The following is a 20,643-nucleotide window of genomic DNA, read 5'->3' on the forward strand; positions in this document are numbered from 1 at the left end:
AACTTCTAAATGTTAGATCTATTCTTAAACAAGATCACAAATCCTTATAGCAGAAGCTGTTGGTGTCCTGCTCACACCCCCTCCACACTCATGTTCTCAAAAGGCTGATGGCTTCCTACTGCAAGTGTCTGAGGCTGTCTGTGCCTGCAGGAGTGTGCTTTGCTGCCACATAGGAAGGCCAGGAGTGCTGGAGGTTAATATCTTGCTTGTATAGCCCTTGGTCAATGAAGAATGGGAGCTGCTGAACATATATCCCAGCATCCTCACCTTGTATGATGTTCTGGCCCTGAGGAATTTCTCACTATCTCTCAGAAGTCCGCAGTGGGGCTGAGCCCCAGTTACCCTCAGCAGCAGTCTGTTCACTGATGCCGTCTATACACCATTCATCTCCTTCCTGTTTCACTTTCCCTCTCCTCTACCACTGCTTCCTGACTTCTCCCGCCAAATAAACTACTTGTACTCCAATCTTTGTCTTGGGATGTTTTTGGTAACACCAAACAGAAAATAACCCCTATCTTCAAACTTTTGTTCATTCATTCGTTCATTCATTCTTTTGTTCTTGTTTATTGACATCTCACTATGCCAGGCTCTGTGCTACCTGCTGAACTGGGAAAGTTTCGCTTTTTCCTTCTTGTATCCATCCCCCACCTCCATCATCATCACTACTGCCCCACAGGTCCTGGAAGAGAGCCCAGCTCACAGGAAGTGCTCAATAAACACCTGCTAAGTGAAAAGAAATAAATGCCTCTGTGGAAGAGCCCTGCAGACCTTCTGAATTCTGAATTCAGGATTACAGGACTTCAGAATTAGTCGTGTTGTTTTCCCACTGTGTGACCTTGAACAAGATGCTTTGCCTATGTGGATGTCATTTTGCTCATTGAAAAAAAAAAAGAGATGGGGTTTGAATTACATGATTTCTAAAGTTTCATTCAGGTAGGAGTCATGTGTACAGTCATGGAGTATACATGGCCTTTCTCAAATATGTGTGTCGTTGTCCTCTTGAATAGAAATTCTAGTATGTGCTTGTGGCTCTGGCTGAACTCAGATCCTTTATTCTGCAGCAAAATCTATTATAGCAAAGGAAGTAGAAAACATAATCCAATAACATTTGGTTTGTAATCTGAATATTCATATGGCTTTCCTGTGGTGTTACAAATTTCAGTTTTTCTGATTAGGATCATGAACTGGAAGTTCATATAAGCTGAATGCATCACTGGAGCCTCTCTTGCCAGGAAGAATGAAAACAAATCCTGGCTAAAATCCCAGCCATGTTTTTTTATTCTTTGTCCCTAGCAAAGGTGACTGTGGAACAACGAGATGGATTGATGTCCTGGAAAGTGATGAGGGAGATCGGGGCCCAGCTTCACACATCGCAGCCAATGTCCTCCACTCTGACCTGGAGGGCACCACCTTGCAGTGTGAGGGGCCTCAGGCGCCACATCCATTAACTCCTTGGCTTCTCGTTTGAAACTGACAATGAGGTGACATGGGCAACTGTCCACATGGAACAGGACAGAGACCATCAACTCATTCCACATGGGCTACCAGACAGCACCTAGAGGTAATAACATTCTGTCAATAGTGACCTGGGTTGGATTCAAATCAGTGATTTAGGGGTGAAAGGCTCTGGATTCTATTATGAAGTGCCCTTAGCTATCTAAGGGCTGAAAAACCATTCCTTTACCACAGTTAATGATAGAATCTAAAAAGTCAGTCTAGTTTTTTTCCTTCTATTCTCCTTTAAAAATTGAATACAACTTTGGATGATCTAGGAATGACTCAGCCAGTAGAACATGGTGGAGAATATTAGTGAATATGCTTCAATTCAACTAAGTATACTGTGTGGATGTCCATAACACACATCCACATTGCTTTTTTCCTTCCTTTTTCCCCTTCTTCCTTCTTTCCTGCTTTTCTTCCTTAGCATAGAGTTTTCTGAACTGAATATAGGTACAGGTTGTTATTAGAATCAACTTTTTTTAAATTAAGGCCAAATTAATGACTCTCCAACAAGACAAACCTCTGTTTTCAGGGGCTTACTATAGGCTCACCAAGAATAAGGTGACTATTCCATATAGTCAGGCTAATAGAAGAGACAGTACTTCCATGTCGGGGTCCCAAAGATGTTTGGCTCAACCCAGGGTGGGAGAGTTAGACAAACCCTAAACCTGTGGGGTGAAAGCAAAGAGACCATTCCCCACATCTGTGTGTTTATACCATTAGCTAGAATGAAATGTGTGCTTTTCAAACAAAATGCTTCCTAAAGGTCATGGGGTCCATTTTTCTTCCACCAGTTTGCTTTTCTTTCTTCTACTCTGCCTGTTTGAATCTTAACCTTGTAACTAATGACATGGTCTTGGAAATAAATGAACAATTCAGCTAGGACTACTTGGAAATTAAGATAAGATAACTAGAAAAGCTGTGGTTCTCTCTTAGAGACCAGAAACTAGAATGGCGATAATATTTTAAACTGTTCATTAGGGCTTTGTATCTCTTTGTTCTTCAACTGTACAATCCCTTTAATACGAAGATTTGAAAGTCTTTCTGAGACAGGCTTCCACTGCCTTCTGCAAGGTGCTGTGCGGTAAATAGATGGTAATAAACACCCTTACTTTTCTGATGAATTTGATGGAGTTGGGGTGAAAGCTTGCTCTCACTCTCAGCTCTTCATCCTCCTTATTTCTCCAGGATCATGTTTTCATAGGGCTCCCTGATCAAATACTATGCTCAAGATAATTTCTAAGTCAGCCCTCTTTGTGGCTGAAAACCTTCAGCCATGAGGGAATAGTCCTGGGGGCACAGCACTGAGCAGAGAAATTAGCAGCCTCCAACAGGGAAGGATGTTTAGGGGTGTCAGAAAGGCTCATATGATCCTACATCCATCCATGATCAAGGCCTGAAATTCTGTGTAGAACTTCATCCTTTAATATTAATCCCTATTACAATATAGCTGAACCCAAGAGGACTGTCATATATTTTAGTGTGAATGGTCTAACAGGACACAACTGAGGGAGTGGGAATGGGGGTGGGGAAGGAGTAGACAACGAATGAAGGAACTCATCTGGACACCAGCTGAAAAGAGGGGGCAGAGGATAAAATCTCTGGAAACCTCTTTGGCCAAAGAGAAATGTTACCTACTTTGCAGTTTTGCCCAAATAGGCTTAAGGTCAATTGGCCCTGGCCTCATGGTCTGGCACACTAGTGTTTTATGGTTCTCAAGCTACTGCATAGGTACTTGTGGAACACTCCACTGGGTTTCTCTGTCTACTGATTTAACCTAGTTAACAAAGTATTTTACATGTGAAATGCTTGGCTAAAACAGCTCTGTCTGCAAATGTGTAAAGATATTTCAAAGAGCTGAGAAAGACTGAACAGCAGCACTCAGAGAAGCCCTTGAATAATAAAGCATGGCTGTTATTTTGGCAGAGACTGGAGAGAAGGCATTTGTGGTTGGAAGCTGTTTGTAGATGGGAATCCACGGAGGCCATTTGTGTAAGACAAACCTAGAGTGGGGTGCATACCCTTTCCATCCTTTGCTCACTCTCCCTTTCCCTCATTTATATAGTGTGCATAATTCACAAAGCATACACATTCATTATTTTATCTGAGCTACATAGCTTCTGTATAGAAAAATCTGGAGAGATTTAAGAAACAAATAAACATTCCTTCTTGCTTTGTTCATCCCACAAAGAGACCTGATCTATCTGTTCAGAGCCAAATGGATGTAATTAGGTGAAGAATCGCTTTCTCTGTATCTGAGCAAATATGTTTTGCAGTGCACCAATTTCTCAAGGGCAGTGGGCTGGGACGGCCAGTGACTGCTGGGGGATGGCTGCTGACCTTCAGGCCAGGCCGACTTTAATTTGCAGAACACTGCTGGTCCCAGGAGGCTCTTCAGGCCAGGCCACACAATCAACCTGAACCAGCAGCCTGCTGCTGCCCAGCTGCACCCACCACCCTGCAGGACATGAAGATGTAGCTAACTAGACATAGCTGCTGCACAGACTTTGGAATTATGAATTGAGAAATTAAGCATCATCAGAATTCAGCCCTTTATACAGCAACCAAGAAGCCTTGTTGTCTCAGTGGTGCCTCTTTCCAACTGCATTATTTAACAGGAGAGTCTCTGTAGATGTTGCATCTACATTCCAAGTTTTGATTTCATATCCTGTGTGCTTATTTCAAAAAGTGATGCTTAAAGGGAACATGGCAATTAGATCTAAATTATGTGAATGGCCTGAAAAAGAAATACTGGCTTAAAGCAATGATGTTTATCTGGGGTCGCAAAATTTTTGGATATGGGAGACTCCTGCCATCTCTAGATGAGAAAGGAACTGAAATGTTTCCTAGCTGATCTGATTATCACAGTCAACTTAATGACCTGGTCGGGCTGCCACATGATCAGTCCAGTTGATTGCTGCGTAATCGATCGAAATGATAAAAAAAAAAAAAAAGCAGACTGAGTGGGCAGAGACGAATTCAGTTATGGCACCCAGACACTGCCTTTGTGTGTACACTTCCGTGTGTGTGTGTGTGTGTGTGTGTGTGTGTGTTTGCTTGCATGTGAAAAAGTGTGTGTATTCTGGTGCTAAAATGTTCTCAACTCAGAAAAATGAAAGACAGACAGCAATTGAAGACAGTTAAAGCTTGTGTGCCAATTTAAGCCACATAATATTCAGAGAACCTAAATGTCAGGGATAAAAAACTGTAATTGTTGCTATTACATATGGGCAATTGGATTAAATGTCAATAAAATGGTAACCACCACATGTTGTTAGATGGGAATTTGAGGAATAAAATTATCTTGAATGCATACTACGCATAGAAAACAACAGGAATGTAAATGTAAATAAAAGGGCAGTGTATTATTTTTGGATGGGCTGGGTCTCAAACTCAGAAAAAATGATGATATCCTTTGTATCCTTGGTAGTTTATACTTGACTTCCTATAGTATTTATTTATGACACTAAAAAACCCCAAAAACCAAAAACCAAAAACTGTTTATATGTCTGGCTTCCTACTAGATGTTGAGAGTAATTGGGGCCAACAGCAGTGTCTTCTTTTTATTCTTTATAATGATAATAATAGTTAACAGAGCACCTGCTATTGCTAGGCACTCTTCTACAGATAACCCATTTGACTTTCATAACCCTAAGGGATAGACACTATTATTAAGTCCATTACACAGATGAGGAAAATAAGGCACAGAGAGGTTGAACAACTTGCTCAAGATCACAGAGCTTGTTCATGGTAGATCCAGGATTCAGGTGCAGGCAGTCTGGCTCTAGAGTGTTTTGAAACACTCTACTGTCTTATTCTTTGCAATACTTACACTATAAATGGTATGTGCTCCATAATGTTACTGAATGAAGGTGTCAGCCAGTAAAGCTCAGCTTATGCCTTTACAACTATAAACATCAACATATAGGAAGAGTTAAGCAATCTGGTTTTCAGTCTCAGAGTGTGCTCACCTCTAGGGTTATGTGGACAGTCTATGGAGGCCAGAATAACAATTCTGCGGGTATAAACTCATAACACTTGCCTTAAAGGTGTTTAATAAGTAACGGTTACTTTTCTGCTGCTTCTTGTCTTTTTAAATTTGTACTCCACTTTTTAGAGATTTGATGTAGTTTGTAAAACATATACAATAAAATAAAATTAAAAATTAAAATTACACCAAATATGAATACAATAGAATATAAAGAGGAAGGGGAAGGGCACAAACAGGCAGATCTTAGAGTTCTACTAAAATATCATACTTGCCCACTGAAGTTGATACTGAGCTTTCTAGTAGCCAAGGCAAAGAGATATGAGTTACATGTTCACATTGCCTATGAGAGAAAGTACTGAGGGTGGGGAAGGAGGAATACACTTGTTCCTCAGAGAAAACAAAGCTTTTTCTTACTCTGTGTCTTAAAGATAGTTCTCATCCGTATTAACATATGAAGACTATGCAGTGATTAAATAGATAATGTCCTCAATAACTTTATGAAAAAAAGTAATATACTTCAGAAACTTGTTTTCTATAGCATGTCTTTATTTAAGCCAAGGGGAAAGGCCATAGCACAATTCAGTGAATGCAATTCTGTGACAGGCTACGAAGGTAAGAAAGGCAAATTTTAGATAGTGTGGTTTGATCCCAAGATGCAGTCCTGAATAGTTAGATTAATGGTTAAGTGCTCTGTTAATCCAGTAGAGGTGGCACAGTACTAAAAGAGAAGTAAGCCCAATGTCTTATAATTTCGCTTGTCCTAGAGATTTAGTGATTGGACGTTCACAGTTATATGCTTTGGCGGGAGCCTGGTGTGCATGTATTGTGAGTTGCTGATTAAGGAATAATTCTAATGCTTAAAGTTCAGCTGAGCAGACGGTAGATCTATCTCTTCTGTGAACATTAGCTTATTCAAATGCTCACATAACTGGGCAGTCTTCAAATTCTACATGGAGTGCTGTGATGATGATGATTTAGCCAAGAATCTAATTGGAAAGATAAATTACCTATGGACTCTCATTTTGAGTTTACATTGACATATTCACTCTCCCTTTTCAAACAAACATTTTTTGGCCCTTATTTTCAGTGACTATCTTTTCAGGAACAAACACAATTTAAAATGTTTAAAATTTATTTATTTATTTTTCATGTGATTTATAATTGACACATAATAATTGTATATGTTTATAGGGCACAGTGTGACATTTCAATGCATGTGGACATTGTATAATGATCAAATCAGGGCAGCTAGCATGTCCATCACCTCAAACCTTTATCACCTTTTTGTGGTGATAACTTTTAAGATCTTTTTAGAAGCTATTTTGAAATATACAGTACATTGTTATTAGCTATAGTCACTCCACTATGTCATAAACACCAGATATTATCCCTTTGTTGGATGCATGGTTGCAAATATTTTCTCTCATTCTGTAGGTTGTCTCTTAACTCTGTTGATTGTTTCCTTTGTTGTGCAGAAGCTTTTTTGTTTGATGTAATCCCATTTGTCTGTTTTTGCTTTTGTTACCTGTGCTTTGAGGTCCTATCCAAAAACCCTTGCCCAGACCAGTGTAATGAAGCATTTCCCCTGTGTTTTCCTCCAGTTGTTTTATAGTTTTGTGTATTATACTTAGGTCTTTAATGCAAAGGTTTGAGTTGTTTTTGTATAAGATGAGAGATTCTTCTGCATGTGGATATCTAGTTTTCCCAGCATCATTTATTGAAAAGATTGTCTTTTCCACAATATGTGTCCTTGGCACTTTGTTGAAAATAGGTTGGCTGTAAATGCATGGATTTATTTTGGAGTTCCCTATCCTGTTCCATTGGTCTATGTGTCCATGTCTGTTTTAATGCCAGTATCATCCTGTCTTGGTTACTATAGATTTGTGTGTGTGTATGTGTGTGTGTGTATATATATATATATAGACATATATGTATATGTAAATGTATATACATATATAAAGTATATGTAAATGTATATGCAAATATATAAATGTATATGTAAATGTATATACATATATAAATAACATATTTATGTAAATATATATAACATATATTATATAAATGTATATTTATATATTATATATAAATATATGCATTTCTTTTGAGACAGGGCCTTGCTCTGTTGCCTAGGCTGGACAACAGTAGTGCAATCATGGCTCACTGCGGCCTCGACCTCCCAGGCTCAAGTGATACTCCCGCCTCAGCCTCCTGAGTAGATGGGACTGCAGGTGTGTGACACCACATTCAGCTAATATTTTTGTGTATCTTTTGTAGAGATAGGGTTTTGCCATGTTTCCCAGGCTGGCCACAAACTCCTGGGCTCAAGCAATCTGCCTATCTCAACCTCCCAAAGTGCTGGGATTACAGGCCACTGTGAGCCACTGTGCCTAGCCTGTAGTGTATTTTGAAGTCAGGTAGTGTGATGCCTCCAGCTTTGTTCTTTTTGCTCAAGATTTCTATGGCTATTTGGGATCTTCTGTAGTTCCACAAAAATTTTAGAATTGATGTTTCTATTTCTGTGAGGAATGTCGTTAGTATTTTGACAGGGATTGTGTTGAATCTGTAGATTGCTCTGAGTAGTATGGACATTTTAATGATGTTAATTCCTCTAATCCATGAACACAGGATATCTTTCCATTTTTTTGTGTCTTCTTCAATTTCTTTTTTTTAATTTTAAGAAGTTAGTATTTACTCTGATACCAAAACCAGACAAAGAGAGCACACACAAAGAAGGAGAAAACTGCCAACCAATATTCACCATAAAGATGCAAAATCCTTAACAAAATATTAGCAGATAGAATTAGTCAGTATATAAGAATTACACAACATAATGAAGTGGGGTTTATTTCAAGGATGCATAGCTGATTTTTTTCTTTCAGTTTTTATTTTAAATTCAGGGATACTTGCAGTACAGGTTTGTTACATAGGTAATCTTGTGTCATGGGGATTTGTTGTACAGATTATTTTGTCACCAAGGTATTAAGCTGAGCACCCATTAGTTATTTTTCCTGATTTCCTGCCTCCTCCCACCCTTCACCCTCTTCTAGGCCCCAGTGTGTGTTGTTTCCTTCTATGTGTTCATATATTCTCATCACTTAGTTCCCACTTATAAGTGAGAACATGCAGTATTTGGTTTTATGTTGCTGCATTAGTTTGCTAAGGATAATGGCCCCCAGCTCCATCCATGTCTCTGCAAAGTGATGTGATGTCATTCTTTTATATGGCTGCATAGTATTCCGTGGTGTATATGTACCACGTTTTCTTTATCCAGTCTGCCATTGATGGGCATTAGGTTCCATGCCTTTGCTATTATGAATAGTGCTGCAAGGAACATATGCGTGCATGGGTCTTTATGATAGAACAATTTATATTCCTCTGGGTATTTACCCAGTGATATGGTTTGACTCTGTGTCTCCACCCAAATCTCATCTCAAATTGTAATCCCTACATGTTGAGGGAGGGACCTGGTGGGAGGTGATTGGATCATGGAGGCGCTTTCCCCCATGCTGTTCTTGTGCTAGTGATGGAGTTCTCATGAGATGTGGTGGTTTTAAAAGTGGCAGTTTCCCATGTGTTCTCTCTCTCCTGCTGCCTTGTGAAGAAGGTACTTGCTTCTGCTTTACCTTCTTCCATGACTGAAAATTTCCTGAGGCCTCCCCACCCATGGAAAACTGTGAGTTAATTAAACCTCTTTCATTTATGAAATATTCAGTCTCAGGTATTTCTTCATAGCAGTGTGAAAATGGACTAATGCACCCAGTAATGAGATTGATGGGTTGAATGGTATTTCTGTTTTTAGGTCTCGAGGCCTCAATTATCACACGGTCTTCTGCAATGGCTGAACTAATTTACACTCCCACAAACAGTGTATAAGCATTCCTTTTTCTCCACAACCTCTATAGCATCTGTTATTTTTTGACTTTTTAATAATAGCCATTCTGCCTGGTATGAGATGGCATCTCATTGTGGTTTTGATTTGCATTTCTCTAATGATCAGTAATGTTGAGTTTTATTTCACATACTTCTTAGCTGTATGTATGTCTTCTTTTGAGAAGTGCCTGTTCATGTCCTTTGACACTTTTTAATGGGGTTGTTTTTTCTTGTAAATTTGTTTAATTTCCTTATAGATCTTGGATATTAGACCTTTGTTGGATGCATACTTTGTAAACATTTTCTCTCATTCTGTAGGTTGTCTGTTTGCTCTGTTGATAGTTTCTTTTGCTGTGCAGAAGCTCTTTAGTTTAATTAGATCCCAATTTGTCAATTTTTGTTTTTATTGCAATTACTTTTGGTCTTTATCATGAAATCTTTGCCCATGCCTATTTCCTGAATGGTATTGCTTAGATTCCCTTTCAGAGTTTTTATAGTTTAGGGTTTAACATTTAAGTCTTTAATCCATCTTGAGTTAATTTTTGTGTATGTTGTAAGGAAGGGGTCTAGTTACAATCTTCTGCATATTGCTAGCTAGTTATCCCAGCACGATTTATTGAATAGGGGATCCTTTCCCTATTGTTTGTTTTTGTCAGGTTTGTTAAAGATCAGATAGTTGTAGGTGTGCAGTCTTATTTCTGGGTTCTCTATTCTGTTCCATTGATCTATGTGTCAGTTCTTATACTAGTACTATGCTGTTTTGGATACCATAACCCTGTAGATTTGTTTGAAGTCAGATAGCATGATGCCTTCAGCTTTGTCCTTTTTGCTTAGAATTGCCTTGACTATTCAGGCTCTTTTTTGGTTCCATATGAATTTTGAAATAGTTTTTTCTAGTCCTGTGAAGAATGTCAGTGGTAGTTTAATGGGAATAGCATTGAATCTATAAATTGCTTTCTTCAGCAGGGCCATTTTTATGATACTTATTCTTTCTATCCATGAGGATGGAATATTTTTCCATTTGTTTGTGTCATCTCTGATTTCCTGGAGCAGTGGTTTGTAGTTCCTATAGAGATTTTTCACCTCCCTAGTTAGCTGTATTCCTAGGTATTTTATTCTTTTTGTGGCAATTATAAATGGGAGTTTGTTCATGATTTGGCTCTTGGCTTGGCTGTTATTGGTGTATAGGAATGCTGGTGATTTTTGCACATTGATTTTATATCCTGAGACTTTGCTGAAGTTGCTTATCAGCTTAAGAAGCTCTTGGGCTGAGCTGATGAGTTTTTCTAGATATAGGATTATGCCATCATCAAACAGGGTAGTTTGACTTCCTCTTTTCCTATTTGAATGCCCTTTATTTCTTTCTCTTGCCTGATTGCCCTGGCCAGAACTTCCAATACTATGTTGAATAAGAGTGGTGAGATAGGGCATCCTTCTCTTGTGCTGGTTTTCAAGGGGAATGATTCCAGCTTTTGCCCTTTCAGTATGATGTTGGCTGTGGGTTTGTCGTAGATGGGTCTTACTATTTTTAGGTATGTTTCTTCAGTACCTAGTTTATTGAGTTTTTATCATGAAGGGATGTTGAATTTCACTGAAAGCCCTTTCTGAATCTATTGAGATAGTCATGTGGTTTTTGTCTTTAGTTCTGTTTATGTGAGGAATCCCATTTATGGATTTGTATATGTTGAACCATCCTTGCATCCTGGGATGAAGCCTACTTGATTGTGGTGGATAAGCTTTTTGATGTGCTGCTTGATTTGGTTTGCCAGTATTTGGTTGAGGATTTTTGCATCAATATTTATCAAGAATATTGGCCTGAAGTTTTCTTTCTTTATTGTATCTCTGCCAGGTTTTAGTATCTAGATGATGCTGGCCTCATAGAATGAGTTAGGGAGGAGTCCTTTATTTTCATTTGTTTTGGAATAGTTTCAGTAGAAATGGCACCAACACTTATTTGTGTATCTGGTAGATTTATCTGTGAATCCATCTGGTCCTGGGCTTTTTTTGGTTGGTAGGCTATTTATTATTGCCTCAATTTCAGAAATAATTATTGGTCTGTTCAGGGCATCAATTTTTTCCTGGTTCAGTCTTGGGAAGGTGTGTGTTTCCAGGAATTTATCCATTTCTTCTATTTTTTTTAGTTTAGGTGTTCATAATATTCTCTGATGGTTGTTTTGTATTTCTTTGGGGTCAGTGGTAATATCTCCTTTATCATTTCTGATTGTATTTATTTGAATCTTCTATTTCTTCTTTATTAGTCAAGGTAGCGGTCTATTTTATTAAGTTTTTCAAAAAATAAGCTCCTGGATTTGTTAATCTTTTGAATGGCTTTTCACATCTCTATCTCCTTCAGTTTAGCTCTGATCTTGGTTATCTCTTGTCTTCTTCTGGCTTTGGGATTTGTTTACTCTTGGTTCTTTTAATTGTGATGTTAGGTGGTTTAGTTGAAATTTTTCTAGTTTTCGATGTGGGCATTTAGTGCTATAAATTTCCCTCTTAACACTACCTTAGCTGTGTCCCAGAGATTCTGATATGTTGTATCTTTGTTCTCATTAGTTACAGAGAACTTCTTGATTTCTGCCTTAATTTCATTATTTACCCAAAAGTCATTCAGGAGCAGGTTATTCAATTTCCATGTAATTATATGGTTTTGAGTGAGTTTCTTAATCTTGAGTTCTAATTTGATTCTGCTGTGGTCCAAGAGGCTGTTTTGATTTCAGTTCTTTTGCATTTGCTGAGGAATGTTTTACTTCCGATTATGTGATCGATCTTAGAGTAAGTGCCATATGGAAATAAAAAGAATGTATAGTCTACTGTTTTTTGGTGGAAAGTTCTGTAGTATTTATCAGGTTTGTTTGATCCAGTGCTAAGTTCAGGTCCTGAATATCTTTGTTAATTTTCTGTCTCAATGATCTAATATTGTCACTGGGCTGTTAAAGTCTCCCACTATTACTATATGGAAGTCTAAGTCTCTTTGAAGGCCTCTAAGAACTTGCTTTATGAATCTGGGTGCTCCTGAGTTGGGTACATATATAGTTAGTATAGTTAGGTCTTCTTGTTGAATTGAACCCTTTACCATTATGTAATGCCCTTCTTTGTCTTCTTTGATTTTTGTTGATTTAAAGTCTGCTTTGTCAGAAACTGGGATTGCAACCCCTGCTTTTTTCTGTTTTCCATTTGCTTGGTAGATTTTCCTTCATCCCTTTATTTTGAGCCTATGTGTGTCATTGCATGTGAGATGGGTCTCTTGAATACAGCATACCAATGGTTCCTGGTTCTTTATCCAGCTTGCCACTCTGTCTTTTAATTAAGGCACTTAACTCATTTACGTTTAAGGTTAGTATTGATATGTCTGGATTTGATCCTGTCATCCTGATGTTAGCTGGTTAGTTTGAAGACTTGTTTATGTGGTTTCTTTATAGTGTCACTGGTCTGTATACTTCATTGTGTTTTTGTAGTTAGCTGGTAACAATCTTTCCTTTTCACATTATTGGTATCTTCAGCAGGTCTTGTAAGGCAGGTCTGGTGGTAACAAATTCCCTCAGCATTTGCTTGTCTGATAAGAATCTTATTTCTCCTTCACTTATGAAGCTTAGTTTGGTTGCATATGAAATTCTGGGTTGGAAATTATTTTCTTTAAGAATATTGAATATTTGCACCCTATCTTTTCTGTATTGTAGGGTTTCTGCTGAGACATCTGCTGTTAGTCTGATGGGCTTCCCTTTATAGGTGACCTGGACTTTCTCTCTGTCTGCTTTTAACATTTTTTCCTCCATTTCAACCTTAGAGAATCTGATGATTATGTGTCTTGGGGTTGATCTTCTCATGGAGTATATTACTGGGGTTCTCTGCATTTCCTGAATTTGAATGTTGGCCTGATTTGCTAGGTTGGGGAAATTCTCAATGATGATATCCTGAAATATGTTTTCCAAATTCCCCATCTTTCTGAGGTACACCAATCAGTCATAGATTCAGATTATTTTCATCATCCCAAATTTCTTGAAGCTTTTGTTCATTCTTTTTCATTCTTTTTTTTCTATTCTTGTCTGCCTATCTTATTTCAGAAAACCAGTCTTCAAGCTCTGAGATTCGTTCCTCTGCTTAGTCTATTTTGCTATTAATACTTGTGATTGCATTATGAAATTCTTGTAGTGTGTTTTTCAGCTCTGTCAGGTCAGTGACATTTTTCTCTATACTGACTATTTTGTCTGTCAGCTCCTGCAATGTTTTATCATGATTTTTAGCTTCCTTGCTTTGGGTTACAACATACTCTTGTAGCTCAATGGACTTTGTACCTATTCGTATTCTGAATTATACTTTTATCATTTCAGCCATCTCAGCCTCAGCCTGGTTCCAAATTCTTGTTTTGATAATAGCCATTTTTTTTCCACAATGAGATACTATCTTACTCCAGTTTAAGTGGCTATTACAAAAAAGACAGAAGTAACACATTTTGTGTGTTTTCAGAATCTCTATTTCATCATTTTTGCTCTGATTTTTCTTTCCTCCCTTCTACTAGTTTTGGGTTAATTCGTTCTTGCTTTTTTAATTTCTTGAGATGTAACATTAGAGTATTTGTTTGTGATCTTTCTACTTTTTGATGTAGGCATTTATTGTTATAAACTACCCTCATAGAATGCTTTTGCTGTAGGTTTTGGTATGGTGTGGGTTGCAAAGATTTAACTTAAGCCTTATGTTTTCCAGGGTCCTGGATTAAGCAAATGTATCTGAATAAATAGTCTGTGGTGGGGTGAGAGTGGAATGAGGAGAGATGGTTATGGGCTTGGAGCTAGTTACTAATAAAATATGAACTGTATTCAAACAGCCATTGATTCTCTCTATAAGGAACTGCTGGGGCATAATTGGGCCCACCTGTCAATCATTTTGCACATATCCGGTTTGTTAGTTCTAAGTTGAAACCAGTTAAAATCTAGTTCCAAGGAAAAGTAAGTTACATCAGTTTGGTTCTTTTTATAGGAATGACACTTGTATTCTCTATGATAAATCTTTTGCTTGTGCATAATGATTTCAGTCCTCTTCAGAGCAGATCTGGCTATTCCTTGGGGGATCCATAGGCATGAGTTTTATTTTATTTTATTTTATTTTGCATTTTATCCTAAATATTTGACTGCATTTAATTCCAGATCATGATATATCTTTCCTAGGCCTACAGGCATATCTATATTGCTTTCCTAAGAACTTTGAAAGTCCCATATAAAATGAGATGAAACTTTAGGCTACTGACTCAGAGTTTCCTGGAAGACATGCATGTTTCCCACACTCAGGAAGGCCAAAATAAAAGAGATCTCTGCAGAAAGTCACTTAGACTGTCACCAGATAAGACAGTTTCTTCTATATCAATGCATTTTCATGTGCTAACATGTCTAATTAATGTAGGGAATGGCGAGATTGGCTAAATAAATAATTAACTTTGAGGGTAATTATTGAAACAAAAGCACAGTTAGTAAATGGATAATTACTATCTTTTGCTGTGGCCATTAGCTGGCCATATCCTAAAATCTAGATACAAATGACCGTGGTCTTTCTTATTGTAGAAGACATGCTTTTTTTTTTTTTTATGTCAAATTCAAAGGAAAGAAACTTGCAATACAGAGAATTCAGGAAGGTAATATAGAGTGATACATTTTACTAAGATTGTTGAAAGTGTAGGGCTTGAAGTCAACAAAGCTGAATTGGAACCCAAGTGCCACTATTTATTAGCTGTATATCCTTGGATGTATTAATGTTTCTGACTGCATCATCATCTGTCAAGTTAGGATAATTATGTGTGAGGAAAATTTGTGAGGACTAAATGAGATAATGTATGTAATGTGTCCAGTATAACAAATGACATGTAGTAGGCACCCCAAAACTGATGGCAAATGTTATTTCTCATGGCATATTTAAAAGGCACAGTCATATCTCTCACTTGATCTATACTGCATTAAAAGTGCTGAACAGCTATATGAAAAGAATCACCCCCCACCCAACCCTAAATGATTTAATTATTGCTCACTGAACCAGCTCATCTACCTAGATCATTGTCCTGGCTGCCTTGCTCCTGTGACCTGTTGCAGCCTTGAATGTCCTCTGCTGCTAGTCTTACCATGTTTCTTGGATCTGGCAAGTTACATAAGTCTATCCTTTTTTACTGCTGGAAACATCTTACCTTTTGGCTTCTTTTGCTTACTTTCAGCAATCTACCTGCACGGTTCCTCAGTTTCATCACTGCTCCTACCCCTTCCACCCACCTGACATTCATCTCTCCTATGTAAATAATTGGGTAAAGTGTGAAGGGGATATCTCCATGAGTTTTTGTACCTAGTTTCTATACCACTAAATTAGAGAAGTTCACCTTCACAAATGTGGGAGTGGGGAGACTGTATTACCTCTGCCTTATAGGTGTTTGTAAAATTGGTTTAGATTCTGAAAATGATGTTCTCATGGGAAAGTGGATAGCCAGAGAGAATCCTAAAACATTTGTGCTGGAAATTTTCATTTACCTCTCCCCACACCCCTAGATCAACTCTTCACTTTTCTTCAACCTACATTTTACTCCAAAAGGCTGACCTCCATGGGCTGCATCCATCAAGCTCTCTTGCCCTGTGGCTTCTGGTTGAATTTGGCCACTGAAAGATACTAGCAGGAGATAAGAGGGTAGGAGAGAAGGAGCAAGGTTGGAGTATTATTACTCTGCTCCCTCTTTGTTTAGGCCACAGTTTGACAGTCCTTGCTTTTCTCTGTCTCAGGCCACAGCTCCTGTGGAAGCATGGAGACATTCCAAAGCCACAGCTATTGCTCCCATTCTGGAAATGGTGCCTCTTCCTTGATCCTTCAGATCTTGGGGTATTAATAGTCTATCCCCTGGGTGCTTTACCCTGGGTACTGATGGTTTCCCTTAAGTTATCCTGACTCTTGAAAATAGTCCTATTACTAAACTCTTTCAGTTTCTGTGCTTTGATTGATAGAGAAAGGAGTAGTGATTCTCTCAGCAAGGTCAGAGCACCTAAGTGCTCCAGACACAGGGAATATGGGACTTCTGGATATTCCAGGGCAATCAAGAATGAGGAGTTGAGGGAGGGTTTATAAACTGTCCATCAGCTGAACCTTGGCAGGTATAGTTTTGATGGTCAAAGTGCATCCATTGAAGCCTAGATCTTACCAAACAACTGGTTTGGTGGTGAGAACTTCTTGAAATAAATGTTGTGATCTAGTGAAAAAACTGGCTTGATTGCCTAACTGTTCAGTCTTAACTCTAGCCAGAGGAACAGGCCATAGTTACTGGTGTTAGTTTGCATTTGGAGGTGGTATAGTGAAGTCTTCTCAGTGACTGAATTTAGCAAATGACAGTTCATAGTCTTTGAGAGGAAGAGTGAATTCTTGCTCAATAACAGGTTTATGTTTTTTAAAAAATGAATTATTAAATCAGATTCCTATTTTGTTTTTATGGCATTAAAATATTTTTAAATTCATAAAGGAATTCTGAAGAGCCTTCAAAGGGTAGGTAGTCAAAATTTCCTCAGCACTTTGTATGGCTCTGCCAAAGTCTATCCAAATAGACCAATTAAAAAATATTAATTTAAAGCAATGTTTTAGGATGTCATTGACACATTTAGAGTCTCTTGTAATGGAATGTGGATAACTGAAGCCATTATTTGGGTAACTAAAAATATGATTTTTAGGAATTATCCAGGAAATATAATTAAAATAATATTTTTGATTTGAATTTTAAAAATGTTCCATTTAACCACGAAACACTGCTCAAATAAATCAGAGATGACACAAACAAATGCAAAAACATTCCATGCTCATGAATAGGAAGAATCAAAATAGTTAAAATGGCCATATTGCCCAAAGGGATTTATAGATTCAATGCTATTTATATTAAACTACCAAGGACATTCTTCACAGAAGTAGAAGAAGCTGTTTTAAAATTCATATGAAACAAACAAACAAACAAAAGCCTGAATATCCAAGACAATCCTAAGCAAGAGGAACAAAGCTGGAGGCATCATGTTACTTGACTTCAAACTACACTACCGGGCTACAGTAACCAAAACAACATGGTTCTGGTACAAGAACTGATGCATAGACCAATGGAACAGAACAGAGAACCCAGAAATAAGGCCGCATACCTACAACTATCTGATCTTCAGCAAATCTGACAAAAACAAGCAATGGGGAAAGGACTCTCTATGTAATAAATGGTGCTGTGATAACTGGCTAGCTGTATGCAAAAGATTAAAACTGGACCCCTTCCTTACACTACATACAAAAATTAACTCAAGATGGACTAAAGACTTAAATATAAAATGCAAAACCATAAAAGTCCTGGAAGACAATATAGGCAATACCATTCAGGACATAAAGTACGGGCAAAGATTTAATGACAAAGATGCCAAAAGCAATTGCAACAAAGGCAAACATTGACAAATGGGATCTAATTAAGCTAAAGAGCTTCCGTACAGCAAAAGAAACTATTAGCAAAGTAAACGGACAACCTACAGCATGGGAGAAAATTTTTGCAAACTATGCATCTGACAAAGGTCTAATATCTAGCATTTATAAGGAACTTAAACAAATTTACAAGAAAAAAGACAAATAACCTCATTAAGAAGTGGGCAAAGGACATTAACAAGCACTTCTCAAAAGAAGACATACATGCAGCTAACACACATGAAGAAAAGCTCAACACCACTCATCACTAGACAAATAAAATCAAAACCACAATGAGGTACCATCTCACACCAGTCAGAATGGCTATTATTAAAACGTCAAAAAATAACAGATGCTGGTGAGGTTGTGAAGAAAAAGGAATGCTTATACACTGTTGGTGGGACTGTAAACTAGTTCAATCATTGTGGAAGATACTGTGGCAATTCCTAAAAGACCTAAAAACAGAAATACCGTTTGACCCAGCAATCCATTACTGGGTATATACCCAAGGGAATATAAATTATTCTATCACAAAGACACATGCATGGATATGTTCATTGCATCACTATTCACAATAGCAAAGACATGGAACCAACCTAAATGCCCATCAGTGATAGACTGGATAAAGAAAAGGTGGTACATATACACCACGGAATACTATACAGCCATAAAAAAGAATGACAACATGTCCTTTGTGGGAACATGAGTGGAGCTGGAGTTAGGCTTAGCAAACTGACACAGGAACAAAAAATCAAATGCCACATGTTCTTACTTCTAAGTGGGAGATAAATGATGAGAATAGTCGAACACATAGAAGGAAACAACATACAATGGGGCCTAGAAGAGGGTGGAGGGTGGGAGGAGGGAGAGGATCAGGAAAAATAACTAATGAGTACTAGGCTTAATGCCTGGGTGATGAAATAATCTGTACAACAAACCCCCATGACATAAATTTACCTATGTAACAAACCTACACACGTATCCCTGAACTTAAAATAAAAGTTAAATTAAAAAATAAATGAAATGTTCCATTCAACTAGTAACAGAGTGTCATAAATAATTAGGTCCTTTGAAAGTGGTATGATATTTATAACTTAACATTTCATCATTCTAGCCTAAAAGAGCATGAAGATGGCTTCTTGTACTGAACTGAAGTATAATATATATGTATATATAATAGTTGTTATAAATATAAATATGTATATGAGTAATACATCTCTCAGGCACAATGCTAAACTTTTTATGTGCAGTTATCTTAAGCCCAACAATTCTATAAAATAGTTATCATTTCCAGTTTACAGAAAAGGAAACTGGAACTCCAGTAACTTGCCCAAGGCCTTACAGCTGTAAATGACAGAGCCATGACTGAGCCCAAGTCAGCCAAACTCAAAAGTGTTTATGCTTAACAATGGAGCAAGAATGTTTGTATGAAGAGGATTAAAATTGACAGTCAAGTCCTTGGGAAATTTTTCTAAAATCTATTTTATGTTTCTCATAAAGATGTTTTTCATGAAGTCTTCTCTAATTCATAAAGTATAATATTTTGATTAGGATGACTGGAAGGATAGTTCAGATAAGGATACTTGTCCTTATGTTTAATGTATTTTTCATCATTACTCCATTCTAAAAATGAAAAAAAAAAAAGAACTTTGAGAGAAAGCAGGGAAAACAATCAAGTGAAATTTAACACTTCTGATGTATTTTGCATCCAGGCACCTGGGCTGTCTGAAAAATGCATTCTGATGTGAGAAAGAAATTCAACTTACAGCTGAGTTTATAGAAGGTCTGTATTTTTTACATGTCCTTTTTCTTCGGCCACAACAGCAAGTCTGTTTTAAGGGGTCAGCTACATCTTAAACTCTCAAAGTATAGGGTAAGTTGTGGTTTCTCTAGAATTTCCATCGCTGTGACTGATGCATAAAATAACCCATCACGTGTAGTCTTGTGTCACCAGTGTGCAGGGGGAAAGCCAGATGCCATAGATGTGGTTGTCATGGAAACCAGCAGTTGCTCTTGCAAAGGTTTTCAAGTCAATACAAAGTTTCTGTTAAAGTACATGCAATTCTGCAGGTGGAGACGTGATCATAAAGCTTTGGCTTCTCTCTTTGTCCCACAAAATAAGAGCATGAAGTTCTTTTCCTTGCTCACAACTTTCAATAGAAAGAAAGATGCCACGAGAAACCTATAATCCTGGGAAACACGTATATATTTAAAACACGTTTAGGAACAAATGGTATACATGTAAAGTCAGCATCATGGCTAGCAGATAAAAATATTTTTGAAGGAAGGATTCTGGAAGTGGCAGTGGAAAAGACTGACTTTATTCTTTTCCCATTTTATAGACCCATCTCATCTTTGCCTTCAAAAAGATATCAGTGGATGGAAAAGATGAACACATTTGTAACCTGGGATCCTCTAAGAGGCTCTTCAGGGACCTGGTTAGGAGCAAATGGATCTGGTCCCTTTCATCTACTTTGACTTCTCTTGTTCTGTTGTGAGTGTGAGGGGTTGTGAATGTACTAATAGCAAGAGGGCAAGGTTCTCAGAGACACAAGAAATAAGCTGCATCTAAATGCAAATACACTTAGGGCTGGAGTGACATCTAAAAAGCTACCTTGGATAATAGAAACCTTTCATAGAAGGTTTCCAGGCAAAATACACAATAGGGGAAGAAACATATTACTTGTTTTCTTTTTAAAAATCCTCTTAAGAATTTGTGATCAGCCTCCATTTTAGTTCTGAAGTGGTCAGAGCCTCATGAAAGCGGAGAGGAAAGAGCAGTTAGTCTCTTGACTCCTGGCCTAAAGCTGACCACTATTTTCTCTTCAGATGGCCAGGTGGACAGA

The 20,643-nt window shown here is 37.7% G+C and overlaps 1 long non-coding RNA gene across 7 annotated transcripts in view; it reads left to right on the top strand.

Annotated features, from left to right (window-relative positions):
• Nucleotides 1-20,643, top strand: part of LOC107983981 (uncharacterized) — a 417,903-nt gene that overhangs the window by 177,086 nt on the left and 220,174 nt on the right. For 2 of the 7 annotated variants that reach the window (XR_004837529.2, XR_007064642.1), the window contains one exon: nt 1,294-4,767. The exons of the other annotated variants lie outside the window; for them this stretch is intronic. This is a non-coding gene — a long non-coding RNA (uncharacterized LOC107983981). Of the gene's footprint in view, nt 1-1,293; nt 4,768-20,643 lie in introns of those variants that run through there. 7 annotated transcript variants of the gene reach the window in all.

This window comes from Homo sapiens, chromosome 15, assembly GCF_000001405.40.
Source record: "Homo sapiens chromosome 15, GRCh38.p14 Primary Assembly".
Classification (NCBI taxonomy): domain Eukaryota; kingdom Metazoa; phylum Chordata; class Mammalia; order Primates; family Hominidae; genus Homo; species Homo sapiens.